At 54.0% G+C, this 27,588-nt stretch overlaps 2 protein-coding genes across 11 annotated transcripts in view, besides 5 other annotated features; both read left to right on the forward strand.

The window, feature by feature from the left end:
* The window catches only part of SPTBN4 (spectrin beta, non-erythrocytic 4), a 109,464-nt gene extending 97,326 nt beyond the window's left edge, over positions 1–12,138 (forward strand). For 3 of the 4 annotated variants that reach the window (NM_020971.3, XM_017027049.2, XM_017027050.2), the window contains 9 exons: positions 1,097–1,235; positions 1,335–1,419; positions 1,837–2,033; positions 3,337–3,956; positions 5,331–5,400; positions 6,110–6,402; positions 7,693–7,866; positions 8,012–8,054; positions 11,085–12,138. In NM_020971.3, the coding sequence (NP_066022.2) occupies positions 1,097–1,235; positions 1,335–1,419; positions 1,837–2,033; positions 3,337–3,956; positions 5,331–5,400; positions 6,110–6,402; positions 7,693–7,866; positions 8,012–8,054; positions 11,085–11,243 (1,780 nt within the window). In that variant the 3' untranslated portion in view covers positions 11,244–12,138. Of the gene's footprint in view, positions 1–1,096; positions 1,236–1,334; positions 1,420–1,836; positions 2,034–2,724; positions 3,012–3,336; positions 3,957–5,330; positions 5,401–6,109; positions 6,403–7,692; positions 7,867–8,011; positions 8,055–11,084 lie in introns of those variants that run through there. The other variant, XM_017027051.2, reaches the window with a different exon arrangement.
* Positions 5,870–5,939: an enhancer, noted in NCBI's record as "active region_14656". NCBI's record gives its function as "activates an Ori minimal core promoter by ATAC-STARR-seq in GM12878 lymphoblastoid cells {active_cell/tissue: GM12878}" and the evidence as "EXISTENCE:reporter gene assay evidence [ECO:0000049][PMID:35858748]".
* Positions 6,170–6,739: a silencer, noted in NCBI's record as "silent region_10632". NCBI's record gives its function as "represses an Ori minimal core promoter by ATAC-STARR-seq in GM12878 lymphoblastoid cells {active_cell/tissue: GM12878}" and the evidence as "EXISTENCE:reporter gene assay evidence [ECO:0000049][PMID:35858748]".
* Positions 11,936–12,025: a silencer, noted in NCBI's record as "silent region_10633". NCBI's record gives its function as "represses an Ori minimal core promoter by ATAC-STARR-seq in GM12878 lymphoblastoid cells {active_cell/tissue: GM12878}" and the evidence as "EXISTENCE:reporter gene assay evidence [ECO:0000049][PMID:35858748]".
* Positions 12,376–12,555: a silencer, noted in NCBI's record as "silent region_10634". NCBI's record gives its function as "represses an Ori minimal core promoter by ATAC-STARR-seq in GM12878 lymphoblastoid cells {active_cell/tissue: GM12878}" and the evidence as "EXISTENCE:reporter gene assay evidence [ECO:0000049][PMID:35858748]".
* SHKBP1 (SH3KBP1 binding protein 1) lies at positions 12,547–27,071 on the forward strand. Of its 7 annotated transcripts, none has more exons than XM_006723474.3 (18): positions 12,547–12,659; positions 12,905–12,958; positions 13,070–13,115; positions 13,231–13,304; positions 13,828–13,886; positions 14,136–14,216; positions 15,998–16,159; positions 16,240–16,330; positions 16,420–16,610; positions 18,025–18,140; positions 19,072–19,159; positions 19,275–19,391; positions 22,418–22,618; positions 24,298–24,453; positions 24,756–24,852; positions 25,918–26,096; positions 26,404–26,527; positions 26,650–27,071. In XM_006723474.3, exons 1-18 carry the CDS (start codon positions 12,574–12,576, stop codon positions 26,879–26,881), a joined length of 2,154 nt encoding a protein of 717 aa, XP_006723537.1. In that variant the 5' UTR covers positions 12,547–12,573; the 3' UTR covers positions 26,882–27,071. The 7 variants fall into 7 exon arrangements, with proteins under 7 accessions (XP_006723537.1, XP_006723538.1, NP_612401.2 ...); XM_006723475.3 differs by having other exon boundaries at positions 26,407–26,527; NM_138392.4 differs by having other exon boundaries at positions 22,448–22,618.
* Positions 12,576–12,645: a silencer, noted in NCBI's record as "silent region_10635". NCBI's record gives its function as "represses an Ori minimal core promoter by ATAC-STARR-seq in GM12878 lymphoblastoid cells {active_cell/tissue: GM12878}" and the evidence as "EXISTENCE:reporter gene assay evidence [ECO:0000049][PMID:35858748]".

Here is a 27,588-nt window from a genome sequence, read left to right on the forward strand (position 1 = left end):
CAACAACAACAAAAAACTATTAATGAGACATTTTACATTCTTTTTTACATTAACTCCACAAAATCTGGTGTGCATTTTACACTTTACACCAAAATTCAGACTGGCCACATTTCAAGTGCTCACATGTCTAGTGGCTACTGCCTTGGAGAGCACAGACTTGGAACGTTAAAATCATTGGCTAGTGGAACCTTCAGAAGCATAGCTAGAAAAAGTTTGAAAATTTGGATCTTGGCTGGGTGTGGTGGCTTATGCCCATAGCCTTGAACTTTGGGAGGCTGAGGCAGGTGGATTGCTTGAGCCCAGGGGTTTGAGACCAGCCTGGGCAACATAGCAAGACCCTGTCTCTACAGAAAATGAAAAATTAGTTGGGTGTGATGGTGTGCACCTGTGGTCCCCGCTACTCAGGAGGCTGAGGCAGGAGGATTGCATGAGCCCAGGAGGTTGAGACTGAAGTGAGCTGCAATCTTGCCACTGCACTCCAGTCTGGGCAACAGAGCAAGACCCTATTAAAAAAAAAAAAAAGGAAAATTTGGATCTTGAAATCCTAGAAGGTTAGAATCACCAAAGTGTGAAATTTTAGAAACTTGGAAAATTTGAATCATTGAATTAGTGAACCATGGACCCTCAGAATTTGGTCATCGAAAGTAGGTGTCTCAGTCTGGTTTGGTGACTCAACGCCTGTAATCCCAGCACTTTGGGAGACTGAGATGGGAGGATCACCTGAGGTCAGGAGTTCAAGACCAGCCTGGCCAACATGGAGAAACCCCATCTCTACTAAAAATATAAAAATTATCTGGGCGTGGTGGCAGGTGCCTGTAATCCCAGCTACTCAGGAGGCTGAGGCAGGAGAATCGCCTGAACTCGGGAGGTGGAGTTTGCAGTGAGCCGAGATCGCCCCACTGCACTCCAGCCTGGGCCATAGGGTGAGACTTTATCTCAAAAAAAAAAAGAAAAGAAAAGAAAAGAAAAGAAAGTAAGTGTCTTGAGGTGGTATGGGATGTCAGCCTCAAGGATTTGGGGTCACCAGGAGCCACATGTATGGGGCAGGCTGAGGAGGCTCCCTGTGGCTCAGATCCCTGCCTGCCACCCACTGCAGGGACGTGTCATCAGTGGAGGTGCTCATGAACTACCACCAGGGCCTGAAGACTGAGCTGGAGGCGCGGGTGCCTGAGCTGACCACCTGCCAGGAGCTGGGGCGATCTCTGCTGCTCAACAAAAGTGCCATGGCTGATGAGGTGGGGAGCAGGGAGGGGGTCCCCCTCTGCCACCCGGGCACATTGGGGTGGAAGCCATTCCACACCCTGACTTCCCTCCCACCCACCTGCCACTCCCAGATCCAGGCACAGCTGGACAAGCTGGGAACCAGGAAGGAGGAGGTGTCGGAAAAGTGGGACCGCCATTGGGAGTGGCTGCAGCAGAGTGAGTGGGGGCCCAGGCACACGTGGTTCAAGGGCACAGGGACATGCTCCAGCCTGTCCAGCCAAGGCCCAGAGGGTGACAGGAGCATGCTTTGCACCCTACCCATGGGTCTCCAGAAGCAAACATAAGGGCCTGGAAGGGTGGACAAGGGGGCTGCCTTGCCATTGAATACCCACCCTTGAAAAAAAAGTCTTAAAGTCCTGGGTGGGGGGACATTAAGGAAGGAGGAATGGGAGTCAGAAAGGAGGAATGATGCCCACTGAAATAGCCCCAGCCTCTGCCATTCCTGCAGAGCCCAGGATGGTCAGGGCTCGGGTATGGAAAGCCGGAGGGGTGTGGAAGGCCAGGGGAACAGCCATTGCCCCCAGGAAGGGCCCCAGATGCCCCAGAATCCTTACCCTGCATGCCCCTCCTCAGTGCTGGAGGTGCACCAGTTTGCCCAGGAGGCGGTGGTGGCTGATGCCTGGCTGACAGCCCAGGAGCCGCTCCTGCAGAGCCGGGAGCTGGGCAGCAGCGTGGATGAGGTGGAGCAGCTTATCCGGCGACATGAGGCCTTCCGCAAAGCGGCTGCAGCCTGGGAAGAGAGGTTCAGCTCTCTGCGGCGCCTGACCACGGTCAGCTCCCCAGATACTGCCCCATTACCCCCACCCCCACCAAGACCCCCACACCCATGGCTCTATATGAGACAGACACACCGAGACATGGTGCTTGGTCCTGTGTTGTGTGAGTGCCAAGACAGACTCTTGCTAGGCTCCCAGTGGAGCAGAGGGACAGACCTGTCACCAGTGACAGCCCAGAATGTCAGGGATGTGATAGGGGAAGAACAAGCAGAGGGATAGTGCCTGGGATGGGGGAGTGGGAGGGGGAACTGGCCTGGGGGATTCTATTCTGAGACTTGAATAATTAGGTGAAGAGAATGTAGTAATAAAAAGGATTAGGCCAGGTGTGACGGCTCATGCCTGTAGTCCCAGCATTTTGGGAGACCAAGATGGGTGGATCACTTGAGGCCAGGAGTTTGAGACCAGCCTGGCCAACGTGGTGAAACCCCATCTCTACTAAAAATGCAAAAATTAGCTGGGCGTGGTGGTGCACGCCTGTAATCCCAGCTACTCGGGAGGCTGAGGCAGGATAATCACTTGAACTTGGGAGGCAGAGGTTGCAGTGAGCCAAGATCGTGCCACTGCCTGGGTAACAGAACAAGACTCCATCTCAAAACAACAACAACAATAAAAAAAAAACAACAAAAAAAAACCGCTTAAAGGCTGGGTGGGGTGGCTCACACCTGTACTCTCTTTGGAAGCCTAGGCGGGAGGATCACTTGAACCCAGGAGTTCAAGACCAGCCTTGGCAACATACTGAGAAGCCGTCTCTACCAAAACCAAAAGCAAACAAAGAAAAAACAGCCAGGCGTGATGGCACGTGCCTGTAGTCCCAGCTACTCAGAGGGGTGACTGAGACTCGAGGATCACTTGAGCACTGGAGGTCAAGGCTGCAATGAGCTATGATCTTGCTGCTTGCACTCCAGCCTGGGCGACAGAGCAAGACTGTCTCAAAAATAAATAAATAAATAAATAAATAAATAAATAAATAAATAAATAAAGTCTTAAAGTCCTGGGTGGGGGGACATTAAGGAAGGAGAAATGGGAGTCAGAAAGGCACGCAGAGCAATTGATTTACCCAATTTTTAAAAAAGTGATTTAGCCAATTCTTAAAAGAGCAATAGGTGTTTGCCGGAGAGAATAGGCTTTAAGTTCTTGGCAGAGAGCAAAGCATCGCACAGGCCTGGACACCTTGCTTTTTCAAGGAACTGGTCAATTGAGTGATGAGGCAGAAAAACCCAGGCCGCCTCCCCGGACCTCCCCCTTACCCCGCCCCGGCCCCACGCCTCCAACCTAACCCTGGTCCCTCCATCCTCAGATCGAGAAAATCAAAGCGGAACAGAGCAAGCAGCCGCCTACCCCACTGCTGGGGCGCAAGTTCTTTGGGGACCCCACGGAACTGGCGGCCAAGGCGGCGCCCCTGCTGCGGCCAGGGGGCTATGAAAGGGGCTTGGAGCCCCTGGCCCGCCGAGCCTCGGACACGCTCTCGGCCGAGGTGCGGACTCGGGTGGGGTATGTGCGCCAGGAGCTCAAGCCCGAGCGCCTCCAGCCGCGCATTGACCGGCTGCCGGAGATCCCGGGGAGGGTGGAGCCCGCGGCCCTGCCGGCCGCACCAGAGGACGCGGCGGAGACCCCCGCGACCCCCGCGGCGGCGGAGCAGGTGCGGCCACGACCGGAGCGCCAGGAGTCAGCTGATCGCGCGGAGGAGCTGCCCAGGAGGCGGCGGCCTGAGCGGCAAGAGTCAGTCGATCAATCCGAGGAGGCTGCGCGGAGGCGGCGGCCGGAGCGGCAGGAGTCAGCGGAGCACGAGGCGGCACACAGCCTTACCCTGGGCCGCTATGAGCAGATGGAGCGGCGGCGCGAGCGGCGTGAGCGGCGCTTGGAGCGGCAGGAGTCCAGCGAACAGGAGATGCCCATCAGAGGAGACCTGGTCAAGGGGTGAGGTGCCCGCCTTATGACCAGAAAGTGAGGGGAGGGGAAAGCGGAGAGCTCCTAGAACCCCTCAGGCCCAGTGAAAGGGCTTCAGGGCTCAGAACTTCCCAAAGAAGGAGATATCGCCGCGGTACCCATTTTGCAGAGGTGTAAACTGAAGCTGCAAGATAATCGATGTGCCCATTGTTACACAGAAAGGGGAGCCCTTCCTGTTGAAAGAAAAGGCAGACTGCCTTTCTCCAGACGTAGGTTCTCGGCCCCTGGGTTGTGACTCCTGCATCAAGTCTCCCGGGTGCCCCGAGGCAGGGATTTTGTCCTCTCTGTGCCTCAGTTTGCCCACTGGGCTAATGGTGGAACCCTCACCTCCTTGATTGGAGAGGAGACCCTTTATCACAATTCTCTCAGCAGCCTTATGAAGTGGGGGCTGTTGTCTTCTCCATTGTATGACTAGGGCAACTGAGGCACAAAAAGGGCAAGTCACTCAGCTTAAACGAACCAGGACTTTCAGAATCCAGAGTTGGCCAGTGTGTGTTGTGCAGATCTGTCCAGTCAGCTGAGTGTGTCTCCAGAAAGAGGCCTTTGGTCAGGAGACAATGACTTCTTGATTCTTTTTAAATTGCACATTTCATGAACATTTGCTGAGTGCCCACTCTGCCTGGCATGTGCTGAGTCGAGCGGTGACTGAACCAGTCCCATCCCTGACTTTAGAGACTCACAGTCCATTGGGAAAAACAGGCTTGTCATCAATGATGACCGAGAATTATCTGGGCTGGAATGGGGGCGATTGGGGGACTGGAGAGTCAGGGGTGGGTGGAGAAAGGCAACGTTTGCAAGTTGTTCTTTGTGCTGCTTAAAATTCAAAGGGGCATCTGGGCGCGGTGGCTCACGCCTGTAATCTCAGCACTTTGGGAGGTTGAGGCGGGCAGATCACTTGAGGTCAGAAGTTCGAGACCAACCTGGCCAATATAGCAAAACCCTGTCTCTACTAAAAATGCAAAAATTAGCCGGCATGGTGGCGCACGCCTGTAGTACCAGCTACTTGGGAGGCTGAGGCAGGGGAATCGCTTCAACACAGGAGGCAGAGGTTGCAGTGAGCCGAGATCATGCACCACTACACTCCAGCCTGGGCAACAGAGAAAGACTCCGTCTCAAAAAAAAAAAAAAAAAAATTCAAAGGGGCGAGAGGTTTGGTCTTCCATTCAGCAGACACGTCCCAAACACCTGTGGTACCTAAGGCGAGCATCTGAGAGAAACAGCTGCAGAAGTGGGCAGGGGCCTGGCACTTCCAGCTAAGAAGTGGAGGCTCCTCTGCCCAGCCAGACAGGTCCATGGGAGAAGGAACCCTGGTTTCACTGGGTCTTTCTGTCCCCCATCCCCCAGGAAGGCCACCCTGGCTGACATTGTGGAACAGCTGCAGGAGAAAGAGGCAGGCCCAGGGCTGCCTGCTGGGGTAAGTTGAGCCTCGGATGGGTGGGGATAGGAGGACCCCTTTTTCAGAGCAGGAGGCAGGATCTCAGAAACAGCCAGTGCCTAGCCCTGGCAGGACCCATTCCCTACCTGGACCCTGCAGAGACAGCATGGACTCTCAGGGTCCCCAGAATCTGAAAATGTCCCCCTTAGAAAGACGGGGCACCTACCTAAGAGACCCCTACTGCCCCTCCACACACACACACACACACACACACACACACACACACAGACACACACACACAGACACACACACACAGACACACAGACACAGATACACACACAGACACACACACACAGACTCTTCCCACATCTGTCCTGGACTCCGTATTTCTTCAGCTCAGTGGGGTCCCAAATTTCTTCATAGCCTCATACACACACACACAGAAGGAAGCCCCAGGTTTCTCCTGCAGACAGTGGGGACACGCCCTGCTTGCACCCCCACCTCCAGAGATCTGGCTGCCTCTTTCCACCACCGAGAGAGATTCCAAACCAATGAGTCCTAACAGACTCACTCCCAAGACCCATGGGGCCCTAAGAATTGGGCCTCCAACCCTGAGGTCCTCCCATACTCGCCTCCGAGACAAATGGCCCTGTAGACAGATGGGACCCCAGACCCATGACTCCCCCAAACAGATGACCCCCACACCCTCTCCATGGACAGCACCCCTCTTCCCCCTCCCTTCACACAGCCGTCGCTGCCTCAGCCACGCGAGCTTCCCCCAGGTCGCCTGCCCAACGGGCTTGAGCTGCCCGAGCGGACACCTCGGCCGGACCGGCCCCGGGCGCGGGACCGGCCCAAGCCGCGACGGCGGCCGCGGCCCAGAGAGGGTGGTGAGGGCGGGGGAAGCCGGCGCTCGCGCTCCGCCCCGGCCCAGGGCGGCTCCGCCCCCGCGCCTCCGCCACCGCCCACTCACACAGTGCAGCACGAGGGCTTCCTACTGCGCAAGCGCGAGCTCGACGCTAACCGCAAGTCGTCCAACCGGTGAGCGTGTGGGCGGGGCTTTGGAAGGCGGGTCTCAGGCTCAGGGTGACCATTGCGTGGAGCGGTGGGACTGAGGAGGGGGTGTGGCTCAACTTCAGGCCCTCCAGCAGGTGGCGGTAGTAGGTGGGGCCAGAGCTGGGGGGTGGTGGTGGCTTAAATCAAGAAAGCCAACCAATGAGCAGGAGGGGGTGTGGTTTAACGTCAGGCCCTCCAACCCGTGGGGGTAGTAGGTGGGGCCAGATGAGGGGTGGGGCTCAACTTTGATGATTCCAACCAATGAACAGGAAGGGGCAGGACCTAAGGTTAGTGCATCTAATGGATGATGGGTAGAGCTTAGGTGGGAACAGAAGGAAAATGTTCTGAAAGTGAGTAAATTGGAACCTAACCTCTTAGCAACCAACCCAGGAGTTGATCAGCTAAATAGCAAAGAGGGAGGCATCTAGTTGAGAAGGTTTCAATGGCTTGTCGTGGAGCTTGGAGAGGTCACTCAACCAATGAGTGGGGTGGGTCTACCCTTGAAGTTTCAAATTGGGGGAGGGTCCGAAAACGGGCAGAGCCCAAACTAATGAGGGTAGGGGTTGGGAAGGGGGAGTCATCTCTTACAGGTTTCCAAATGAGGGTCTAGCCATGATGTGCCTGCTCTTGGGGAGTCCAGCTCCTGCTTGTCCACCCTCTTTTTGTCCAACTGAGAGGCAGAATCTGGGGACAAGTGGAGCCAAAAAGGGGTATCACCGGCCAGTAATGGAGTGAGTCCCAAGATATGAAGTGGGCAGGACAGATTCAGATTTTGCTAGTGGAATCTGTAGGTGGTCTTTCTTCCTCGTACCTAATGCCAAGGTAGGAATAAACAAGGGCACCTAGTATGTTTTGCTTTGGGAGGGATTCCTCCAGGATCGAGGCTTTGGATGACTGGAGAGACAGGAATTCTTTATTCCAGACAGTAGACCAATAGACTTTCCTTGAGAAAGCTCCATGAGTGGGGAGGATTGAGTGGAGCAAAGGCTTATGGAGGAGACAGCTTAAGACTTACCTTCAGGAAATTCAGTATGGGAGGGGATAAGGAAGGGAAATCTCAGCCTGGGCAAAGGCTTGATACTGAGAGACTTAAATGCTCCCCTCAGGGCAGCAACAGCCTTAAGGAAGAGCATTTTAGGTCCAACTAGGGCGCAACTAGGGCGCAAAGGTCCAGAGGTAGGAAGGCTCAGACATATTCAGACCTTGAGGATGTTAATGAAGAGTTATTAGGCAGAGTGCTGCGGCTCTGCCTTGAGCCCCATCTTGTCGCTCCAGGTCGTGGGTGAGCCTGTACTGTGTGCTTAGTAAGGGGGAACTGGGCTTCTACAAGGACTCCAAGGGCCCGGCATCCGGGAGCACACACGGTGGGGAACCGCTGCTCAGCCTGCACAAGGCCACCAGCGAGGTGGCTAGTGACTACAAGAAAAAGAAGCATGTCTTCAAGCTCCAGTGAGCCCCCCAATGGGCAGGAGGGAGGGATCCAAGGCTCAGCTTCAACTCCCAGTGGGACCCTGGCTTCCCTGGGGGACACTTGGTGGGCAGGTGGGCTGGGCCCCTTCCCCAGATCTCTGAAGTCCTGTGTCCCTTCCTGCAGGACCCAGGATGGCAGTGAGTTTTTGCTCCAGGCAAAAGATGAGGTGAGATCTGGTCCTTTCCTCCCTCTGTGTGGACCTCAGTAATGACCTGGCTGTCTGGCTCCTGACCCAGAGTGATGGGGCTGTGAGAAGGGACACTCACAGGCCAGAGTTATCAGGGCTGTAATGGGAAAGCCCACAGGCACTGAGAGCCCAAAGGAGGTTCCTAACCCAGTGGGGAGTGGGAAGGGCTTCAGGGAGGGCTGCCTGCAGATCCTGATGACAAAGTCCAACATCTTTGCCGTGGTCACTCAGGTGAGACTGGAATGGAGGGAGTTCGCTTTAAAAAGGGGTGATTTGGCCAGGCGCGGTGGCTCACGCTTGTAATCCCAGTACTTTGGGAGGCCAAGACGGGCAGATCACCTGAGGTCAGGAGTTTGAGACCAGCCTGGCCAACATGGTGAAACCCCGTCTCTACTAAAAAATACAAAAATTAACTGGGCATGGTGGCAGGTGCCTTAATCCCAGCTACTTGGGAGGCAGAGGCAGGAGAATCGTTTGAACCTGGAAGGCGGAGGTTGCAGTGAGCTGAGATGGAGCCATTGCACTCAAGCCTGGGGGACAACAGCGAGACTTCCTTCGAAAATAAAATAAAAATAAAAAGGGTGATTCAGAGGGACAGTGGGGGTCTAAAAAAAGGAGTGATTCAGGTTGGGCACCATGGCTCAGGCCTGTAATCCCAGCACTTTGGGAGGCCAAGGCAGGAGACTGCTTGAGCCCAGGACTTCAAGATCAGCCTGGGCAACACGGAAAGATCCCATCTCTATGGGTAATAATAATAATAAATTAGCCGGGAGTGGTGGCACATGCCTGTGGTCCCAGCTACTCAGGAGGCCGAGTGGAAGGATCACCTGAACCAGGGAGGTCAAGGCTACAATGAGCTGTGATTGTACTATGGCACTCCAGGCTGGGTGACAGAGTGAGATTCTGTCTCAAAAACAAGAGGGGGTGGGTGATCTAGGTAGAGGGAACTGCAAGTGCAGAGGACCAGAGGTGCAGTATTGCAAAGGGTTAACTGCTGGAGGGCAGAGTTCATGGAAGAAGGTCCCAGAAAGGTTCCCAGGAGATAGGTGTCTCAGGACAGGATGGGCCATTTGGAGGAGATTGGATTTTTTACCTAAGGGCACTGGAGAGCTAGGGGGGATTACAGTGATGTGTAAAAAAGATTCCTGGCTGGGCGCAGTGGCTTACGCCTGTAATCCCAGCACTTCGGGAGGCCGAGGCGGGTGGATCACCTGAGGTCAGGAGTTTGAGGCCAGCCTGACCAACATGGAGAAACCCCATCTCTTATGGTGCATGCCTGTAATCCCAGCTACTCGGGAGGCTGAGGCAGGAGGATTGCTTGAACCCGGAAGGCAGAGGTTGCAGTGAGCTGAGACAGCGCCATTGCACTCCAGCCTGGGTAACAAGAGCAAAACTCCATCTCAAAAACAAAATAAACAGGCCGGGCATGGTGGCTCACGCCTGTAATCCCAGCATTTTGGGAGGCCGAGGCGGGCAGATCACAAGGTCAGGAGATCGAGACCATCCTGGCTGACACGGTGAAACCCCGTCTCTACTAAAAATACAAAAAAATTAGCTGGGCATGGTGGCGGGCGCCTGTAGTCCCAGCTACTTGGGAGGCTGAGGCAGAAGAATGGCTTGAACCCGGGAGGTGGAGCTTGCAGTGAGCTGAGATTGCGCCACTGCACTCCAGCCTGAGCGACAGAGCGAGACTCCATCTCAAAACAAAACAAACAAACAAAACAAAACAAAACAAAACAAAACAAAAAAAGATTCCTTTGGCTACCTGGGTGGGTAGCCCAGGCCGCGGCCAGGGCAGGGACCCAAGTGGGAGAGCGCATGGCTGGGCCACACAGGCCTGTGGGGAGAGGAGGAAGAGGAGTCTGAGAGAGGCAAGCATAAAGGTGGTTTGAAGAGATGTTGAGAGTAATAACTAACACTTGTTATCTCATTCAATCTTCACAAGATGCAATGAAGAAGTGGGCTTTTTTTTTTTTTGAGACAGAGTTTCTCTCTTGTCACCCAGGCTGGAGTGCCATGGCGCAATCTCAGCTCACTGCAACCTCCACTTCCCGGGTTCAAGCGACTCTCCTGCCTCAGCTACCTGGGTGACTGGGATTACAGGCTTGCGCCACCATGCCCGGCTAATTTATGTATTTTTAGTAGAGACGGGGTTTCTCCATGTTGGTCAGGCTGGTCTCAAACTCCTGACCTCAGGTGATCCACCCGCCTCAGCCTCCCAAAGTGCTGGGATTACAGGCATGAGCCACCACACCCGGCCAGAAGTAGGCCTTTACCCACTACATGCCTTCTTTTACTTATCTGCACAATGAAGATTAAAAATAGTTTCTTGGCCTGGCATGGTGCCTCACACCTGTAATTCCAGCACTTTGGGAGGCTGAGGTGGGCAGATCATTTGAGGTCAGAAGTTCAAGACCAGTGTGGCCAACGTGGCGAAACCCCATCTCTACTAAAAATACAAAAAGTAGCCAGGCATGGTGGCACGTGCCTGTAGTCCCAGACACTCAGGAGACTGAGGCACAAGAATCTCTTGAACCTGGGAGATGGAGGTTGCAGTGAGCTGACATCGAGCCATTGCACTCCAGCCTGGGGGACAGAGCAAGACTCTGTCTCAAAAAAAAAAAAAAAAAAGTCTCTTATCATAGGGTTACTGTGAGAATTAAATTGCTCCATGTTTAATTGATACATGATAAACTGATACTTAGCACAGGGCCTAGTAAATATCAGTGCTCTAGTAGTGCCTGCCCATATTATTATCATTGTTTGTGTCATTTATCTCTGTAGTAGGAAGTATATACAATCCTATTGCATAGGTTTAAGGGAATTAATCCACTAAAGTGTTTGGAACAGAGCCTGGCACATATTGCTATGTAACTGCATCATCATCATCATCCCTTTTTAATAGATGAGAAAACTGAATTTCAGAGAGGGTAGTCTGATCTGAAATTCACCTATTATTCCAGCTTCTCTCTTCCAAATACGGCCTCTGTGCCCTGTTTCTTCCCCCAGGAGGAGATGAACGGCTGGCTGGAGGCTGTAGCTTCCTCGGTGGCGGAACACGCAGAGATCGCCCGCTGGGGCCAGACACTACCCACTACTTCATCCACAGATGAGGGCAACCCTAAGAGGGAAGGCGGAGATCGCAGGGCCAGCGGGCGCAGGAAGTGACTTCCCACCCCCAGGACCTGACACATCTCGTCTCCCCTCTTTTCCGCACTGTGGGCACAAAGACACTTTTTCTTCCGCAGGGGCGGGAGCCCCTAGTTCCAACACTGAGGACGCGTGACATGGTGGGCACCGGAAAGGAGGGGACTTCTCCTGCACCCCAAGAAGTGGTGGGGAGATTGCTGCCCCTATAGCCATATCTCGGCCCCTTCCCACTCACCACCCCCACCCCAGGTGCTGGGGGTCCCTTATTTTTATGCAATAACTGAGCTTGATGGGGGTGGGCAGGGGGCCAGTTGAGCCAAGCCCCCAGCCCCGATCTGCAGATCCTGCCCCAAGAAGCTGGGGTGGTGGGGGCAGTAATTCCTGCCCCCCTCTCTGCCCTAGGGATGGGCACGGGGGCGCTGGTGAGGTCCCCTGGACCATCCAGGGTGCTAGGGGGCAGGGAGGGGACACCCCCTCCCCGCCTTTACCTCACTTCCAATGCTGCCTTGATCTCTGTCTGGGAGGGGGGAGTGAAGGGGCCCTAGCCCCCTGCACTCCGCCGCCTCAGAGCCATGCGGTTAATTCCTGACTTAGTTTATTTTTGCAAAACGTCGATCTCCTCCTCCCCCGCCCCGCATCCGCGAAGGCTTTTAATGGGAGGGGCGTCAAAGCTCAAAACTGTTTTCCTCTCTCCTCCCCCCTCCAGTTGTAAATGCCACTTCATGAGGGGAGGGGCGAGGGGAAGCCCACCCCTGCATGCTTCTGGCTGGAGCACCTCCCTGGGGAGTCGGGGGATTGGGTTGTGGGCAGTCCCCATGGCCGCCTGGAGAAGCCGCTGGGGCCCGGGGGTGTGGGGCGGTGTGGCGGGCGCACACTGTATGTACCTATAATAAACCCTTTGGCTTTGACGGTCTATGGTCCTTTGTTTGGGTTTTCTGGGCTGCGCCCGGGAGGATTGAAAGGAGGGCTGTGGTGGCTGTAGGGGTGGGTGCGGGGTGGGGAGAGGGGCACGGGGGTACCGTGGCTGCGGAGAACATCCAGATGTACCCTTTTATGTGGACTTAATTTCGGGGTCTAAACACACGCCCCTTGACGAGAACCTAGAGGGATGGAGAATATTTCGTTATGCTTCGTAATAAACTTCCCCAAAGGAGACTCCGGGTCCGCCCCGTCAAGTTCAGGAAAGGCGGACCCCTTTAAGGAGGCGGAAAAGTTAACCGCGATGGGCAGGCGCTCTGTCCAATCGCTAGTGACTCCTGGAGTCTCTGGCCCAATGAGCAGCCTATGGAGGCGGGGTCCGGGTGCACACCCGGAAGTGGGTGCGGGCCAGCCGGCTCGCCCGGGGGCCATGGCAGCAGCGGCTACTGCAGCCGAGGGGGTCCCCAGTCGGGGGCCTCCCGGGGAAGTCATTCATCTGAATGTGGGAGGCAAGAGGTGAGTGTGGGAGACTCCTGAGGTCCCATCCTCGGGGGCGGGAAGCGGGGTGGGAGTATCCGCCTCTCCTGGGGGAATCCCTGTCCATCAAGGGTTGCTCCGCCCCCCCCCCCTTTGGAGGCGCGAGATTCTGGAAAAACGCCGGGGGAGGGGGAAGGGGAGGGAACCCTGGATCCTGCGGGAGGGGGACGCATTCCTCACCCGCTCCTCTTCATCTCTTGCGTCCGTTTACCTTCCCCGCCCAGATTCAGTACCTCTCGCCAGACTCTCACCTGGATCCCAGACTCCTTCTTCTCCAGGTGATCGGGAGAGCGAGTTTGGGGCGAGGGTAGGAGGGATGGAGAGGGCGTGGGAGACCTAATATCCACTCCCCCGGCCCGTGACGCCTGCTCGGTGTCCCTTCCCTGCAGTCTTCTGAGCGGACGCATCTCGACGCTGAAAGATGAGACCGGAGCAGTGAGTCGGACAAGAACTGAAATGGGATGGGGGGGAGGGGTTGGTAGGAAGAGGGGCAGGACCCCACTCAGTCCTGCCTTTTACCCCATCCATCCTCTGCCCCCCTTTCCCGCAGATCTTCATCGACAGGGACCCTACAGTCTTCGCCCCCATCCTCAACTTCCTGCGCACCAAAGAGTTGGATCCCAGGTTGGCATGGAAAAAGGGGAGGGAGTCCCTCACTGTCTTCAGTCCCTGAGGAGTTCTTTCACCTCCTCTGAATGTCCACGTGAGCTCCATTCTATTAGAATTCTCATTCAGAACCTTGATCACAGGCCGGGCGCGCCGGGATTGCTCACGCCTGTAATCCCAACACTTTGGGAGGCCGAGGTGGGAGGATCACTTGAGCCCAGGATTTGGAGACTAGCCTGGGCAACATAGCGAGACCCCTTCTCTAAAAAAGCAAACAGGCAAAACTTCATGAGAATCTTGATCATGTTAAAATTTTATGTCCTTCGATTTCTCCCTACACACACACACACACACACACACACACACACACACACACACACTCAACATTTCCTCCACCCATATCATCACTCCTTAGCATCTTTATTCCATCAAAACTTTCTACCCCTTGACATTCTCTGTGCAGTTTTGAAAATTACCCTCTCAGCATTCTCTGTTCACCCCCACACCTAGACCCTGACCTCTAGTCAATTCTACTACCCAGGGGTGTCCACGGTTCCAGCCTCCTCCATGAAGCCCAGTTCTATGGGCTCACTCCTCTGGGTAAGTGGGAGCCCCCAGCTATCATCCTCATTGTATAGAAAACCAACTCTGTGATGCTACCTGCCCCTCTTCCCCTTCTCTCCTGAAAGAGGGCTGGGGTAGAGGTGGGAGGACTGGTTATGGCCCTGGCCGGGTCTGTATTCGTACTGGGAGGAGTATTGGTACTCTGTGTAGAAAGAAATGGGGAGGGGGAAATGGGGTGGCCTCAGCATCTCCCTAAGTCCCAGCCTTTAAGTCCTCCTGTTGCAGTTCGTCGCCTGCAGCTTCGAGAGGAGTTGGATCGATCTTCTTGTGGAAACGTCCTCTTCAATGGTTACCTGCCGCCACCAGGTAGGCACTCCCAATGGAATGGAGGGGCGCGGAGGTGGGCCAAAGACTACATTTCCCATAAGGCTGCAGCTCTCGGGTGCCTGTGCTGTGCGTCCTGAGATACAGTGGGAGGTGTAGTTCCCTATCAGATGCTTGGGCTGATGCTTGGAAAGGAAGTTGGACACAGCATTTCCCATGAGACAATGGGCCAGCTAACTCTTGAGGCTCAGAAGGATGTCCTGGAGCCCCATGGGAGTTGTAGTCCGGGTTTGGTTTCTTTGTAGGGGGGGCTTTGGAAGACCTGGGATTCTTCGTATGGAGGGGAGAAATATTAATAGGAAGTTATTGACAGTAATGCCCATGATAGCCAGCCCACTGGCCATGGAAGGTATGCCCCAGTGGTTATTGGAACTAGGCTTTTCTGATTGGTAGAAGTAACAGAGTAGGGAAATTTCATCTACAGCTTTATTTCCCTAACTGCAGTCAGCACCTGCTACCTTCATGAAAGTTGCCAGATATAAAGATCTGTAGTAGTACTTTTCCAACTTAGTTTTATCCTGTTTTCCGAAAAACAATCATTTATTTATTTATTTATTTATTTAATTTTATGAGACAGGGTCTGGCTTTGTCACCCAGGCTGGAGTGCAGTGGTGCGATCTTGGCTCACTGCAACCTCTGCCTCTCAGATTCAAGCCATCCTTCCACCTCAGCTCTGCCACTGAGTAGCTGAGACTACAAGCACTCGCCACCATGCCCGGCTAATTAAAAAAATAATAATCATTTTAAATGCAAGCTTTATATTATAAATACAAAGTAAACATGAAAATAAAACCCAAACATAGCAGTGTTATTAAACTCTGGCCTGTAGCAGTGGCTCACACCTGTAATCCTAGCAGTTTGGAGGCCGAGACAGGTGGATTACTTGAGACCTGGAGTTTGAGACCAGCCCAGGTGACACAGCAAGACCTCATCTCTACTAAAAATAAAAAAAAATTAGCCAGGTGTGGTGGTATGCACCTGTGGTCCCAGCTACTTAGGATGCTGGAGTGCGAGGATCGCTTGAGCCCAGGAGGTCAAGGCTGCAGTGAACTATGATCACTCATTACACCCCAGCCTGGGTGACAGAGCGAGATGCTGTCTCAAAACAAAACAAAACGAAAAACAACTCTGGCTAGATGCTATTGCTTGCCAAGGGTGCAGTCTTCCATTTATTAAAAGTGAAAATTAGGGCCAGGCACATTGGCTCATGCCTGTAATCCCAGCACTTTGGGAGGCTGAGGTGGGTGGATCACCTGAGGTCAGGAGTTCGAGACCAGCCTGGCCAACATGGTGAAACCTTATCTCTGCCAAAAATATAAAAGATTAGCCATGTGTCGTGGTGGGTGCTTGTAATCTCAGCTACTTGGGAGGCTGAGGCAGGAGAATCACTTGAACCCAGGAGGCAGAGGTTGCAGTGAGCCAAGATTGTGCCATTGCACTCCAGCCTGTGCAACGAGCGAAACTCCAACTCAAAAAAAAAAAAAAAAAAAAAAACGGAAAATTAGGTAATACTGCAGATTCATTAATATCACAGCAGCACTAAACTCAGTCTTCCTCTGTGCTGGGCTCAAGGGAACTGAAAGGGAAGTAACTTGCTATGTGGTTCAGTGTCATTTCATGCTGTGTCACTGCACCACTTAAAATCTTCACCCGGAGACTATGTCCCACACATGGGGAAATCAATCACCGTCATATTTTAAGTGCTTGCTGTGTGACAGCCACGATTACAATGACTGTTACTCTACCTCTTATTCTCACTGTAGTGTTCCCAGTGAAGCGGCGGAACCGGCACAGCCTAGTGGGGCCTCAGCAGCTAGGAGGACGGCCAGCCCCTGTCCGACGGAGCAACACGATGCCCCCCAACCTTGGCAATGCAGGGCTGCTGGGCCGAATGCTGGATGAGAAAACCCCTCCCTCACCCTCAGGTACGTTTCTATCTCGTGGAAGGTTGGGGCAGCTGTGGGGTCCCTGTGACCCTCTTCTGATCCCTACTCTTCCCCTCAAGGACAACCTGAGGAGCCGGGGATGGTGCGCCTGGTGTGTGGACACCATAATTGGATCGCTGTGGCCTATACCCAGTTTCTAGTCTGCTACAGGTGCTTGGGGAGGGAGTGGCAGGAGGTCCCAGCCCTGTTGATGGGAAGGGCATGCGGTGAGGGTTGGTGATGTCCCCTCGATCCTACAGGTTGAAGGAAGCCTCTGGCTGGCAGCTGGTGTTTTCCAGCCCCCGCCTGGACTGGCCCATCGAACGACTGGCGCTCACAGCCCGGGTGCATGGTGGGGCTTTGGGTGAACATGACAAGATGGTGGCAGCAGCCACCGGCAGCGAGATCCTGCTATGGGCTCTGCAGGCGGAAGGCGGTGGCTCCGAGATAGGTATGACCCCAAGCCTTTTCCAGAACCCTCTGTCCTTTAAATTCTACTGCCTGTTAAAATGACCCACCCCATAAAATCCTCAAACCCATAAGAATTCTCTGCTCTATTAGATCTGTTTGTGTCATTAGAATGCTCCAGCCCTTCAGAATTCTGTATCCTGTTAGAATTCCCTGGCTTCCTAGAAAAATCCACCCACATACAATTCTCCCTCCATCAGAATTCCCTGCCCTGTTAGATCTCTTGGTTTTGTTAGAATGCGCTATTCTGTGTGGCCATGAGAAATGTCTGACTTGGCCCGGTGCGGTGGCTCATGCTTGTAATCCCAGCACTTTGGGAGGCTGAGGCGGGCAGATCACTTGAGGTCAGGAGTTCGAGACCCCCTTGGCCAACAGGGTGAAACCCAGTCTTTATTTCAAAAATACAAAAAAATTAGCTGGGTGTGGTGGCACGTGCCTGTAATCCCAGCTACTCAGGAGGTTAAGGCAGGAGAATCACTGGAACCTGGGAGGCAGATGTTGCAGTGAGCTGAGATCGCACCACTGCATTCCAGCCTGAGCGACAGAGTGGACAGAGTGAGACACCATCTCAAAAAAAAAAAAAAAACAAAAAAAGAAATCTCTGACTTATGGCTGGGCACAGTAACTCACATCTGTAGTTCCAGCACTTTGGGAGGCCATGGCAGGAGGATTGCTTGAGGCCAGGAGTTCGAGGCTGCCGTGAGCTATGTAAGCCATGATTGCACCACTGCACTCCAGCCTGGACAACAGAGCAAGACCCTGTCTCAAAGCCACAGCAACAAATCTCGGACTTATTAATCTGTCCCCAAATAAATCTCAGCCCTCGTAAGAATCCCCTGCCACCAGTGGAGGTTTTTTTGCCTTATTGCAAATCTCAGTGCTGTTAGAATTCCAGACCGTTTTAGAATCCCATACCCCATCAGAAATCTTCTGGCCCATTTTATCTTCTCTAATTCCTGCTGGAATCTTCACTTTTTTTTTTTTTGAAATGGAGTCATTCTCTGTTGCCCAGATTGGAGTACAGTGGTATGATCTCGGCTCACTGCAACCTCTGCCTCCTGGGGTCACGCAATTCTCCTTCCTCAACCTCCCAAGTAGCTGGGGCTACAGTTGTGTGCTACCACACTCAGCTAATTTTTATATTTTTTAGTAGAGATGGAGTTTCATCATGTTGGCCAGGCTGGTCTCAAACTCCTGGCCTCAAATGATCCGCCCACCTGAGCCTCTCAAAGTGTTGGGATTACAGGTGTGAGCCACTGTGCCCAGCCCCTGATGGAATCTTCTATCCTTCAAGGATTCTGTGGTCCCACTGAACCCTCTGGTCCTTGGAGTTCTTCCTCCCACCTCTCCTCCTCCATGAGGCAGGGTTCCAGCTGAGCCCTTTTTGCCCACTGCAGGGGTCTTTCATCTGGGGGTGCCTGTGGAGGCCTTGTTCTTCGTCGGGAACCAGCTCATTGCTACAAGCCACACAGGGCGCATCGGGGTGTGGAATGCCGTCACCAAGCACTGGCAGGTCAGAGTTCTGGCCAGCCTGGCTGCCCCCTTCCCAGTTTTCCAGACTGTACAGACCCAGGAAGGGGTTCACGTCTGCCCCCACCCCCACCCCCTAAGCCTGGAGGAAGCCAGAGAACCAGCAGCTGGCCAGAGCCTGGGGATGTCTGTGATAAAGGCCTAAGGAGCACCAGGGAAGCCTTCCTGGAGGAGGTGCTGCAGAGCCCACATGAAGCATGAATGGGTTTGAAAAGGAGTAGGGAGGATTGTCTTGGGACTGGGTGAGAGAGCAGGTTAGGGGGGATGCTGTAGAAGACAAGAACTGGCTTGGCTCGGTGGCTCACACTTGTAATCCCAGCACTTTGGGAGGCTGAGGTGGGAGGATGGCTTTGGGAGAAAGACAGACAGAGGCAGAGAAAGAGACAGAGAGGCAGAAAACCAGGCAAATAGAAATAGAAAATCAGAAAGAGGTGACAGAGAAGGGTAGACAGAGTCAAACCAGACTGAACCACTGTGGCAGATGGGGGAACTCAGAGAGATAAATGGAGATGAATTAGAGTCATGTCAGAAGTACATAGTGGAGGCCGGGTGCAGTGACTCCCGCCCGTAATCCCAGCACTTTGGGAGGCCGAGGCAAGAGGATGGCTTGAGCCCAGGAGTTTGACGCCAGCCTGGGAAACATAATAAGACTCTGTCTCTACAAAAAATTTAAAAAATTAAAACTTTAAAAAGTACAGAGTCCAGGAGAGGCCAAGAGTCAGACAGACAGATGCATCAAAGGGAGGAAGGGAGGGAACAAGACAGGGACAAAGGCAGGCCTGGGGTGGACGGGGCTGGGGAGCAGTGGGTGGGTTCTGGAGGTGGAGGAGAGGGCCCATCCTCTGTGAGGGGTCACCACGGAAGGAAAGGAATGGAAGGGCTCCCGGCTGCAGCCTGTCCTGCCCCACCCCCAGGTCCAGGAGGTGCAGCCCATCACCAGTTATGACGCGGCAGGCTCCTTCCTCCTCCTGGGCTGCAACAACGGCTCCATTTACTACGTGGGTGAGCAGCAGCCTGTGTCCCGGGTGCCCGAGACCCTCCCCTGGGAGAGGGGAAGGGAGGGAGAGAGGCTGGGGCACTTGGAACAAACCCGCTCCACCCTCCCTGCCCACCCCAGATGTGCAGAAGTTCCCCTTGCGCATGAAAGACAACGACCTCCTTGTCAGCGAGCTCTATCGGGACCCAGCGGAGGATGGGGTCACCGCCCTCAGTGTCTACCTCACCCCCAAGACCAGTAAGCTATGACCCGGCTTCCCCTGCTGCTGTCACCTGCCAGCCCCAGCCCCAGCCTGCAGCTGTCCCCCAACTTGTGTAGCATGACCCAGAGGGGTTTATCGAGGGGCGGCAGATTCAACTCTCTCTCATTTTTTTTTCTGAGACAGACTCTCATTCTGTTGCCCAGGCTGGAGTGCAGTGGTGCAATCTTGGCTCACTGCAACCTCCACCTCCTGAGTTCAAGCGATTCTCCTGCCTCAGCCTCCCAAGTAGCTAGGATTACAGGCGCCCACTGCCACGCCTGGCTAATTTTTGTAGTTTTAGTAGAGATGGGGTTTCACCATGTTGGCCAGGCTGGTCTTGAACTCCTGACCTCAGATGATCCTCCCGCCTCAGCCCCCCAAAGTACTGGGATTACAGACGTGAGCCACCGCGCCCAGCCAGATTCAACTCTCATCCAGTCATTCAACAAATATTTACTGAGTATCCCTGTATATAAGCACGTTCTAGGTGCTAGATGGTGGCCACCCTCTCCACTAGGGGCAGAATGGACCATTAGGAGTTAATCTTTGTGTTTCTTTCCCACCTTTGTGATTAAGGCATGATGTTCACATGTTCATAAAACAACACAGATGCAGGTTTTACAGCAGATGAACCTGAGTTCTCTTACTTGAGACAGTTTTTTGTTTTGTTTTCTTGACATCAAATGCAGAATGGGTTAATTTTTGAGACGTAATTCTCATACCATAAAATTTCCCATTTGAACGTGCACAATTCAGCGGATTTTAGTATATTCACAAGGTTGTACAACTATCACCATGAACAAATTCCAGAGTATGTTCATCACCCCCGTAAGAAACCCCCTGATCTTTAGCAGTAACTCCACATTTCTCACTTCTGATACCCTCTAGAAATCACTAATATGCTTTCTCTTTTTGTTTGAGACAAGGTCTCGCTCTGCTGCCCAGGCTGGAGTGCAGTGGCATGATCTCAGCTCACTGCAATCTCTGCCTCTTGGGTTCAAGCGATTCTCATGCCTCAGCTTCCTGAGTAGGGGAGGATTACAGGTGTGCATCACCATGCCTGGCTAATTTTTCTACTTTAAGTAGAGACTGGGTTACGCCACGTTGGCCAGGCTCAATATGCTTCCTATACCTATGGATTTGCCTGTTCTGGACAATTCCTGTAAATGGGATCATACATTATATGGTCTTTTGTGTCTGCATTTTTCACTTAGCATATTTTTTTAAATGGTTAGTGTTTTCTGGGTCTTAAGATATCCTTACCTATTCTAGGTTACAAAGATCTTCTCCTGAATTTCTTCTAGAAGATTTACAGTTTAGTTTTTACATGGAAGTCTGTTCTATCAGAAATTAAATTTTATGTATGGTGTGAAGCAGGGATTATTCTTTTTTAAAAAAAAATAGAGACAGGGTCTTGCTCTGTTGCCCAGGCTAGAGTGCAGTGGCATGATGTGAGTTCTCTGCCACCTCCGCCACTCGGGCTCAAGCGATTCTTCTACCTCAACCTCCTGAACAGCAGAACCACAGGCATGCATCACCACACCTGTCTAATTTTTGTATTTTTTTGTAGAGACAGGGTTTTGCCATGTTGCCCAGGCTACTCTTGAACTCCTGGGCTCAAGTGATCCTCACACTTTGGCCTCCAAAGTGCTGGAAATACAGACTTGAGTCACTGTGCTTGGCCATAGCTGCTGCTGCTGCTTTTCTTTTTTTTTTAAAGCAGAAATAAGTTAATAATACACCTAACTTCATGACACATTATCACCTTTCTTCTTTGTAAGGCCCTTTTCTTATTTCTTTTTTTTCTTTCTTTCTTTTTTTTTTTTTTTGTCTTTTCCTGAGACAGAGTATCGCTCTGTCATTCAACCCAGGCTGGAGTGCAATGGCGCAATCTCAGCTCACTACAACCTCTGCCTCCTGGGTTCAAGCAATTCTCCAGACTCAGCCTCCCAAGTAGCTGGGATTACGGGTGCCTGCCACCATGCCCAGCTAATTTTTGTGTTTTTAGTAGAGGCAGGGTTTTGCCACGTTGGCTAAGCAAGTTTTGAACTCCTGGGATTCTCCTCTCGTCGTCTCCCAAAGTGCTGGAATTACAGGCATGGGCTGCTGCACCCGGCCTCTTTCTTATTTCACTTACTTACTCATTTCCTCCTCATCTCCCTTCCCGCCACATGCCACTATTATGTCATTTTTCTTTGTTTTTTGAGACAGTCTCGCTTCGTCACCTAGGCTGGAGTGCAGTGGCGCAATCATAGCTCACTGCAGCCTCACCCCCTGGGCTCAAGTGATCCTCCTACTTCAGCCTCTTGAGTAGCTGGGATCATAGGTGAATGCCATCACACCCAACTAGTTTTTTAAAAATCTTTTGTAGAGATGAGGGTCTCACTATGTTGCCCAGGCTGGCCTCAAACGCCTGGCCTCAAGCAATCTTCCTGCCTCGGCCTCTGTTCTCTGTTTTACTTTCTCTTTCCTCTCTTATTTGCTGTTTCACTGTTACAATTTCTGTCTCTGGGCCTCTCCTCCTTTGACCTGTGCCTTTGTCTCCCTGTTCCTCCATTTCCCACATCTCATCACCATCTTTTTGTGTCCTTCCCTCTCTCCTTGCTTTCTGACTGTGTCTCTGTTCTGTGTCTCTTTCTTTCTTTCTTTCTTTTTTTTTTTTTGAGACAGAGTCACATTCTGTCATGCAGGCTGGAGTGCAGTGGCGTGGTCTTGGCTCATTGCAACCTCTGCCTCCTGGGTTCAAGCAATTCTCATGCCTCAGCCTTCTGAGTAGCTGGGATTACAGGTGCGTACTACCACCACCAGCTAATTTTTGTATTTTTACTAGAGACAGGGTTTCAGCACGTTGGCCAGGCTGGTCTTGAACGCCTGACCTCAAGCGATCCACCCGCCTCAGCTTCCCAAAGTGATGGGATTACGGCGTGAGCCACCGTGCCCGGCCTCTCCTTGCTTTCTGACTGTGTCTCTGTTCTGTGCCTGTTTCTTTCTCCCTGCCCTGGTTTCTGTCTCTGTGGCCCAGGCCCTCTCCTCATCCTTGGCCCCTCACCAGGTGACAGTGGGAACTGGATCGAGATCGCCTATGGCACCAGCTCAGGGGGCGTGCGGGTCATCGTGCAGCACCCGGAGACTGTGGGCTCGGGGCCTCAGCTCTTCCAGACCTTCACTGTGCACCGCAGCCCTGTCACCAAGATCATGCTGTCGGAGAAGCACCTCATCTCAGGTGAGCCTCTGTGGGGTGCTCCAGTGCTGGGAGAGACAGCTCAGATGGGAGTGTGGAGACAGGAGGATGAGAATTTCCACTGGGGAGGGACATTGTGTAGGAAGAGAGCTCTGGCGGAGAGGATTGACCTGGGATGGGACTGTAATTGCAGAAGTGAGAGAATACCATAGGGGATCAGTCTGGGGAAGAGTGAATCTGTGTGTGTTTGGGAATCCATCAATTCAGCAACGATTTACGGGGCACCCACCATGTGCCAGGCATAGGGGATACAGTGATGAACAAGACAGGCCAAGTCCCTGCCCTCGTGGAGCTGACATTCTAGCAGCGATGGCAGACAATAAATCTATAAAAATGGACATCAATGGCCAGCTGCGGTGGCTCACACCTATAATCCCAGAACTTTGGGAGGCCAAGGCGGGTAGATTACTTGAGGTCAGGAGTTCGAGACCAGCCTGGCCAACATGGTGAAACCCCACCTCTACCAAAAATATAAAAAATTAGCCAGGTGTGGTGGCACGTGCCTGTAATCCCCGCTACTCGGGAGGCCGAGGGAGGAGAATTGCTTGAACCTGGGAGGCGGAGATTGCAGAGAGCCCAGATCATGCTACTGCACTCCAGCCTAGGCAACAGAGCGAGACTCCATCTCAAAAATAAATAGATAAAAATGCAAATCAGGCTGGGCACTGTGGCTCATGCCTATAATCCCAGCACTTTGGGAGGCCAAGGTGGGAGGATTGCTTGAGGCTAGGAGTGTGAGACCAACCTGGACAACAAAGTGAGACATTGTTTCTACAAAAAATTTTTAAAAAATTAGCCAAGTATGGTGGCATGCACCTGGGGTCCCAGCTTCTTGGGAGGCTGAGGTGGAGGGATCACTTGAGCCCAAGAGTCAGGGGCTGCAATCAGCTATGATTGCACCCCTGCACTCCAGCCCAGGCAACAAAGCAAGACTCTATCTCATAAAATATTAATAAAATAATCTAAATCAACACCAGGCAATGATAAGGGCTATGAATAAACATGAAGCTGTGTGTGGCTAGAGAGTGTCAAGTCGCTGGAGAGGGGTCATTCAGGGAAGGCCTGAGGAAGGACCTTTGAGCAGAAATAACAGAATGAGCAGTGCAGATTGGTAGGGACAAGCATTCAGGCCGAGGGAACAGGCATTGCAAAGGCTCTGAGGTGAGAGGATGCCTGAGGAAGTGCAGGGAGCCACTTGTGCCTGGAACAGAGTAAATGAGGGGGAGAATGGGAGGAGATGAGGGTATGGAGGTGACAAGGGCAGGAGCCACAGAGGGCTCCGAGCAGGGGAGGGACATGACTAGCTTCAGGTGTTCACAGGCTCCACCTGGCTGCCCGTGGGAGCACACTACTGGGATAGGACAGGAGCAGGGACCTCTGGGAGGGGCGTGCTGATACGGTCCAGGCAGGTGACGAAATGGACCAGGACCGGTGTGGGGCAGAGGATAGGGCAAGGTGAGATCAGGCTCTGGAACAGTTTTGGAGGCAGAGGCAACAGGGTTTTTAACATTTGGAATTCTGGGGAGGAAAGGATTCTCTGAAAGGGAAGAACTCAGCAAGGGCTGACCCTCCTGAAACGGGGCTGTCCTGAGGCTCTGGACGGGCAGGCAGCATTGATGCCTGCACCAGGCCTGACTTCCTGCTCTCCTTGTGCCCCTCAGTCTGTGCCGACAACAACCACGTGCGGACATGGTCTGTGACTCGCTTCCGCGGCATGATTTCCACCCAGCCCGGCTCCACCCCACTCGCTTCCTTTAAGATCCTGGCTCTGGAGTCGGCAGATGGGCATGGCGGCTGCAGTGCTGGCAATGACATTGGTGCCTACTGGCTCCTGGCCTTCCCACCCCACTGACCCCCTTACCTGACCCCTGTTGACCTCCGCTGATTCCCACTTGCGGCCACCTGACCCAGGAGCCTGCAACGATTGGGGTGTCCTGATCCTTGAGGCACCTGAGCTCCACTGACTGCCACAACCCCCCAGCCCTCTCTGGCCCTGCCCAACTCTAACAACCTGGGGATGGGACTGGGGTCTTGGGGTGGTGGGTTTCATCAGTGGGGAAGGAAGTCTGAGGCTGAGGGAATCCCAGCTGGCCCTGACCCCTGCCCCTGCCTGGCCCAGGCCCCTACGGTGAGCGGGACGACCAGCAAGTGTTCATCCAGAAGGTGGTGCCCAGTGCCAGCCAGCTCTTCGTGCGTCTCTCATCTACTGGGCAGCGGTGAGGACAGTCCTGTCCAACAGGGAGGGAGGACAGTCCTGTCCAACAGGGAGGGAGGTCAGGGGAGAAGGCAAGATGCTAGCCAGATCACTGAGGCCAGAAAGGGGTCCCAGCCAAGGAGCATTGAAGGAGCAAAGGCTGGGAGGGAGGACAGGCCTGGTAGGTTTGTCTTCTGGTATCAAAGGTGTGACAGGTGTTGGTGGGACTGACCTGGCGCAGTGCCAGCCCAGTGCAGGCAGGGCCAGGTTGAAGGCACAGGGGGTGGGGTCAGGGTGGGATGGGGGGCCCAGGCGGAGGGGGAGGGGTGGGATGGGGGCCCAGGGGGAGAGGTCGGGGTGGGATGGGGGGACCAGGGGGAGGGGTTGGGGTGGGATAGGGGGACCAGGGGCAGGGGTCGGGATGGGATGGAGGAGACCCAGGGAGCTGTAGGAGCCTTGCTTCAGCTGGGAAAGGGGCCTCGGAGGATGTTCTGGATGAAGGGACTCTGAGCAGAGACCTAGAGGACAAGTAGGAAGGAGCAGAAGAAAGAAGGCAGGGGAAGGGGGCCCCAGCCTGAGGGAACTGTATGTGCAGAGGCTGAGAAGGGCCAAATAGGGTCACATGGGAAGGACACGTGGGCTCCTGGGCTGGAGCACAGAACAGGAGGTGAGGATGGGGTGCAGATGCGGGCGGGCCTTGTCAGGCTGTGGAAGGGCTGAGGCTTTGTCCTGTGCGGGGAGCCGTGGCCACTGCATGGGGGATGAAAGGAGGCTTGATGGGAGGCCAGGAGCCCAGGGAGGAGGCCAGGAGGCTGATAGGAGGTGGGGGAGCAGCTGGGACGGGCCTCAGGTCTTCCCTGCAGTGGGAGCAGGGAAGAGCAGAAGCTCTGGGAGACTCCCTGGGTGTTTGGGGCTGCGGTGTCCAAGAGCTGCTGGACCCTTGGGACTGGAACTCAAAAGCAGGCTAGGGATGGATAAAGATTGGGATGGCCCCTGGAGAGGCAGGAACTGCAGCCACAGTGGTGGGGACTGGGACGAGGAAGGGTGAGAAAGCGAGGGTGACCACCTCCCCCACTGCACCCCCCAGGGTGTGCTCCGTGCGCTCCGTGGACGGCTCACCCACGACAGCCTTCACAGTGCTGGAGTGCGAGGGCTCCCGGCGGCTCGGCTCTCGGCCCCGGCGCTACCTGCTCACTGGCCAGGCCAACGGCAGCTTGGCCATGTGGGACCTAACCACCGCCATGGACGGCCTCGGCCAGGCCCCTGGTACTCCCTGCCCCACCCCAATCCCGTCCCAAGCCCCACAGCCTCACCCAGAACCACTCTCCACTGCCAACTGCTTGATCTCTCTCCCAGGCCCTTGCCCTCTGACCCCTTTTCCTTTGACCCCCTCTCTGCTCCCCATCCCTTCCTGCCCTTGTTTTTCAACCCCTGTCTCAGCCTCTGGCCCCCATGCATTGATCTCTGCTTCCTCTCTCCTGTCCTGACCCTCGGTGCTTGCACTGCAATGCAACCCAGGCCCTTGCCCTATGACCCCTGTCTTGCCCCCTGACCCTGCTTCCGTGCCCCCCAGCAGGTGGCCTGACGGAGCAAGAGCTGATGGAACAGCTGGAACACTGTGAGCTGGCCCCGCCGGCTCCTTCAGCTCCCTCATGGGGCTGTCTCCCCAGCCCCTCACCCCGCATCTCCCTCACCAGGTAGCCACAACTCCACTGCCCCTTCTGTGCAATGAGGGGAGAGGGGACAGCATGGTGTTCCCGGGGACAGAGTGGCCCAGCTGCCCCGTGATGACGTGCACTTACTGTCCTTACTTCCTCAGCCTCCACTCAGCCTCCAGCAACACCTCCTTGTCTGGCCACCGTGGGAGCCCAAGCCCCCCGCAGGCTGAGGCCCGGCGCCGTGGTGGGGGCAGCTTTGTGGAACGCTGCCAGGAACTGGTGCGGAGTGGGCCAGACCTCCGACGGCCACCCACACCAGCCCCGTGGCCCTCCAGCGGTCTCGGCACTCCCCTCACACCTCCCAAGATGAAGCTCAATGAAACTTCCTTTTGAACAACGCAGCTGCCATGATGCCTTGGGATGCCCTGGTCCTGGGGGACTCAGGTGCCTCCCTGATTCCTGTGGGAACCCCGGGTTCAGGGCCAGGGCCTCCTTGGAATAAATGGTTATTGTTACTAGGTCCCCACCTTCCCTCTTTTCTGGAAGCCAAAGTCACCCTCCCCAATAAAGTCCTCACTGCCAACATCTTGCTTATTCTTAGCAGGTTTGGGACTCCCCAGGAAAGGGGTGGGGAAGATGTGGGACCCAACCCGATATATGCAAAATCAGGAACATCTACCTCTCTTGTTTAAGCAAAGGGAGGCCAGGCATGGTGGCTCACATCTATAATCCTGGCACTTTGGGAGGCCAGTTTGCTTGTGCTCAGAAGTTTCAGACTAGCCTGGGCAACATAACAAAACCCCATCTCTACAAAAAAATACAAAAATTAAGCAGGCATGGTGGTGCATGCCTGTGGTCCCAGCTTCTTGGGAGGCTGAGGTGGGAGGATCGCTTGAGCCTAGGAGGCCAAGGCTACAGTGAGCCATGATCACACCACTGCACTCCAGCCTGAGTGACAGAGTGAGATCCTGTCTCAAAAACAAAACAAAACAAAAAAGGTGTTGCAGGGGAGGAATGTGTTGGCTTTTACTCTGCCTTCAGGCATGGCTGGATCCGGGGCTTCAAACACTAATTCAGAATATCTTTTTTTCTTTTTTCTT

The sequence above is a fragment of the Homo sapiens genome, chromosome 19 (genome assembly GCF_000001405.40).
Source record: "Homo sapiens chromosome 19, GRCh38.p14 Primary Assembly".
NCBI classification, from domain to species: Eukaryota; Metazoa; Chordata; class Mammalia; order Primates; family Hominidae; genus Homo; species Homo sapiens.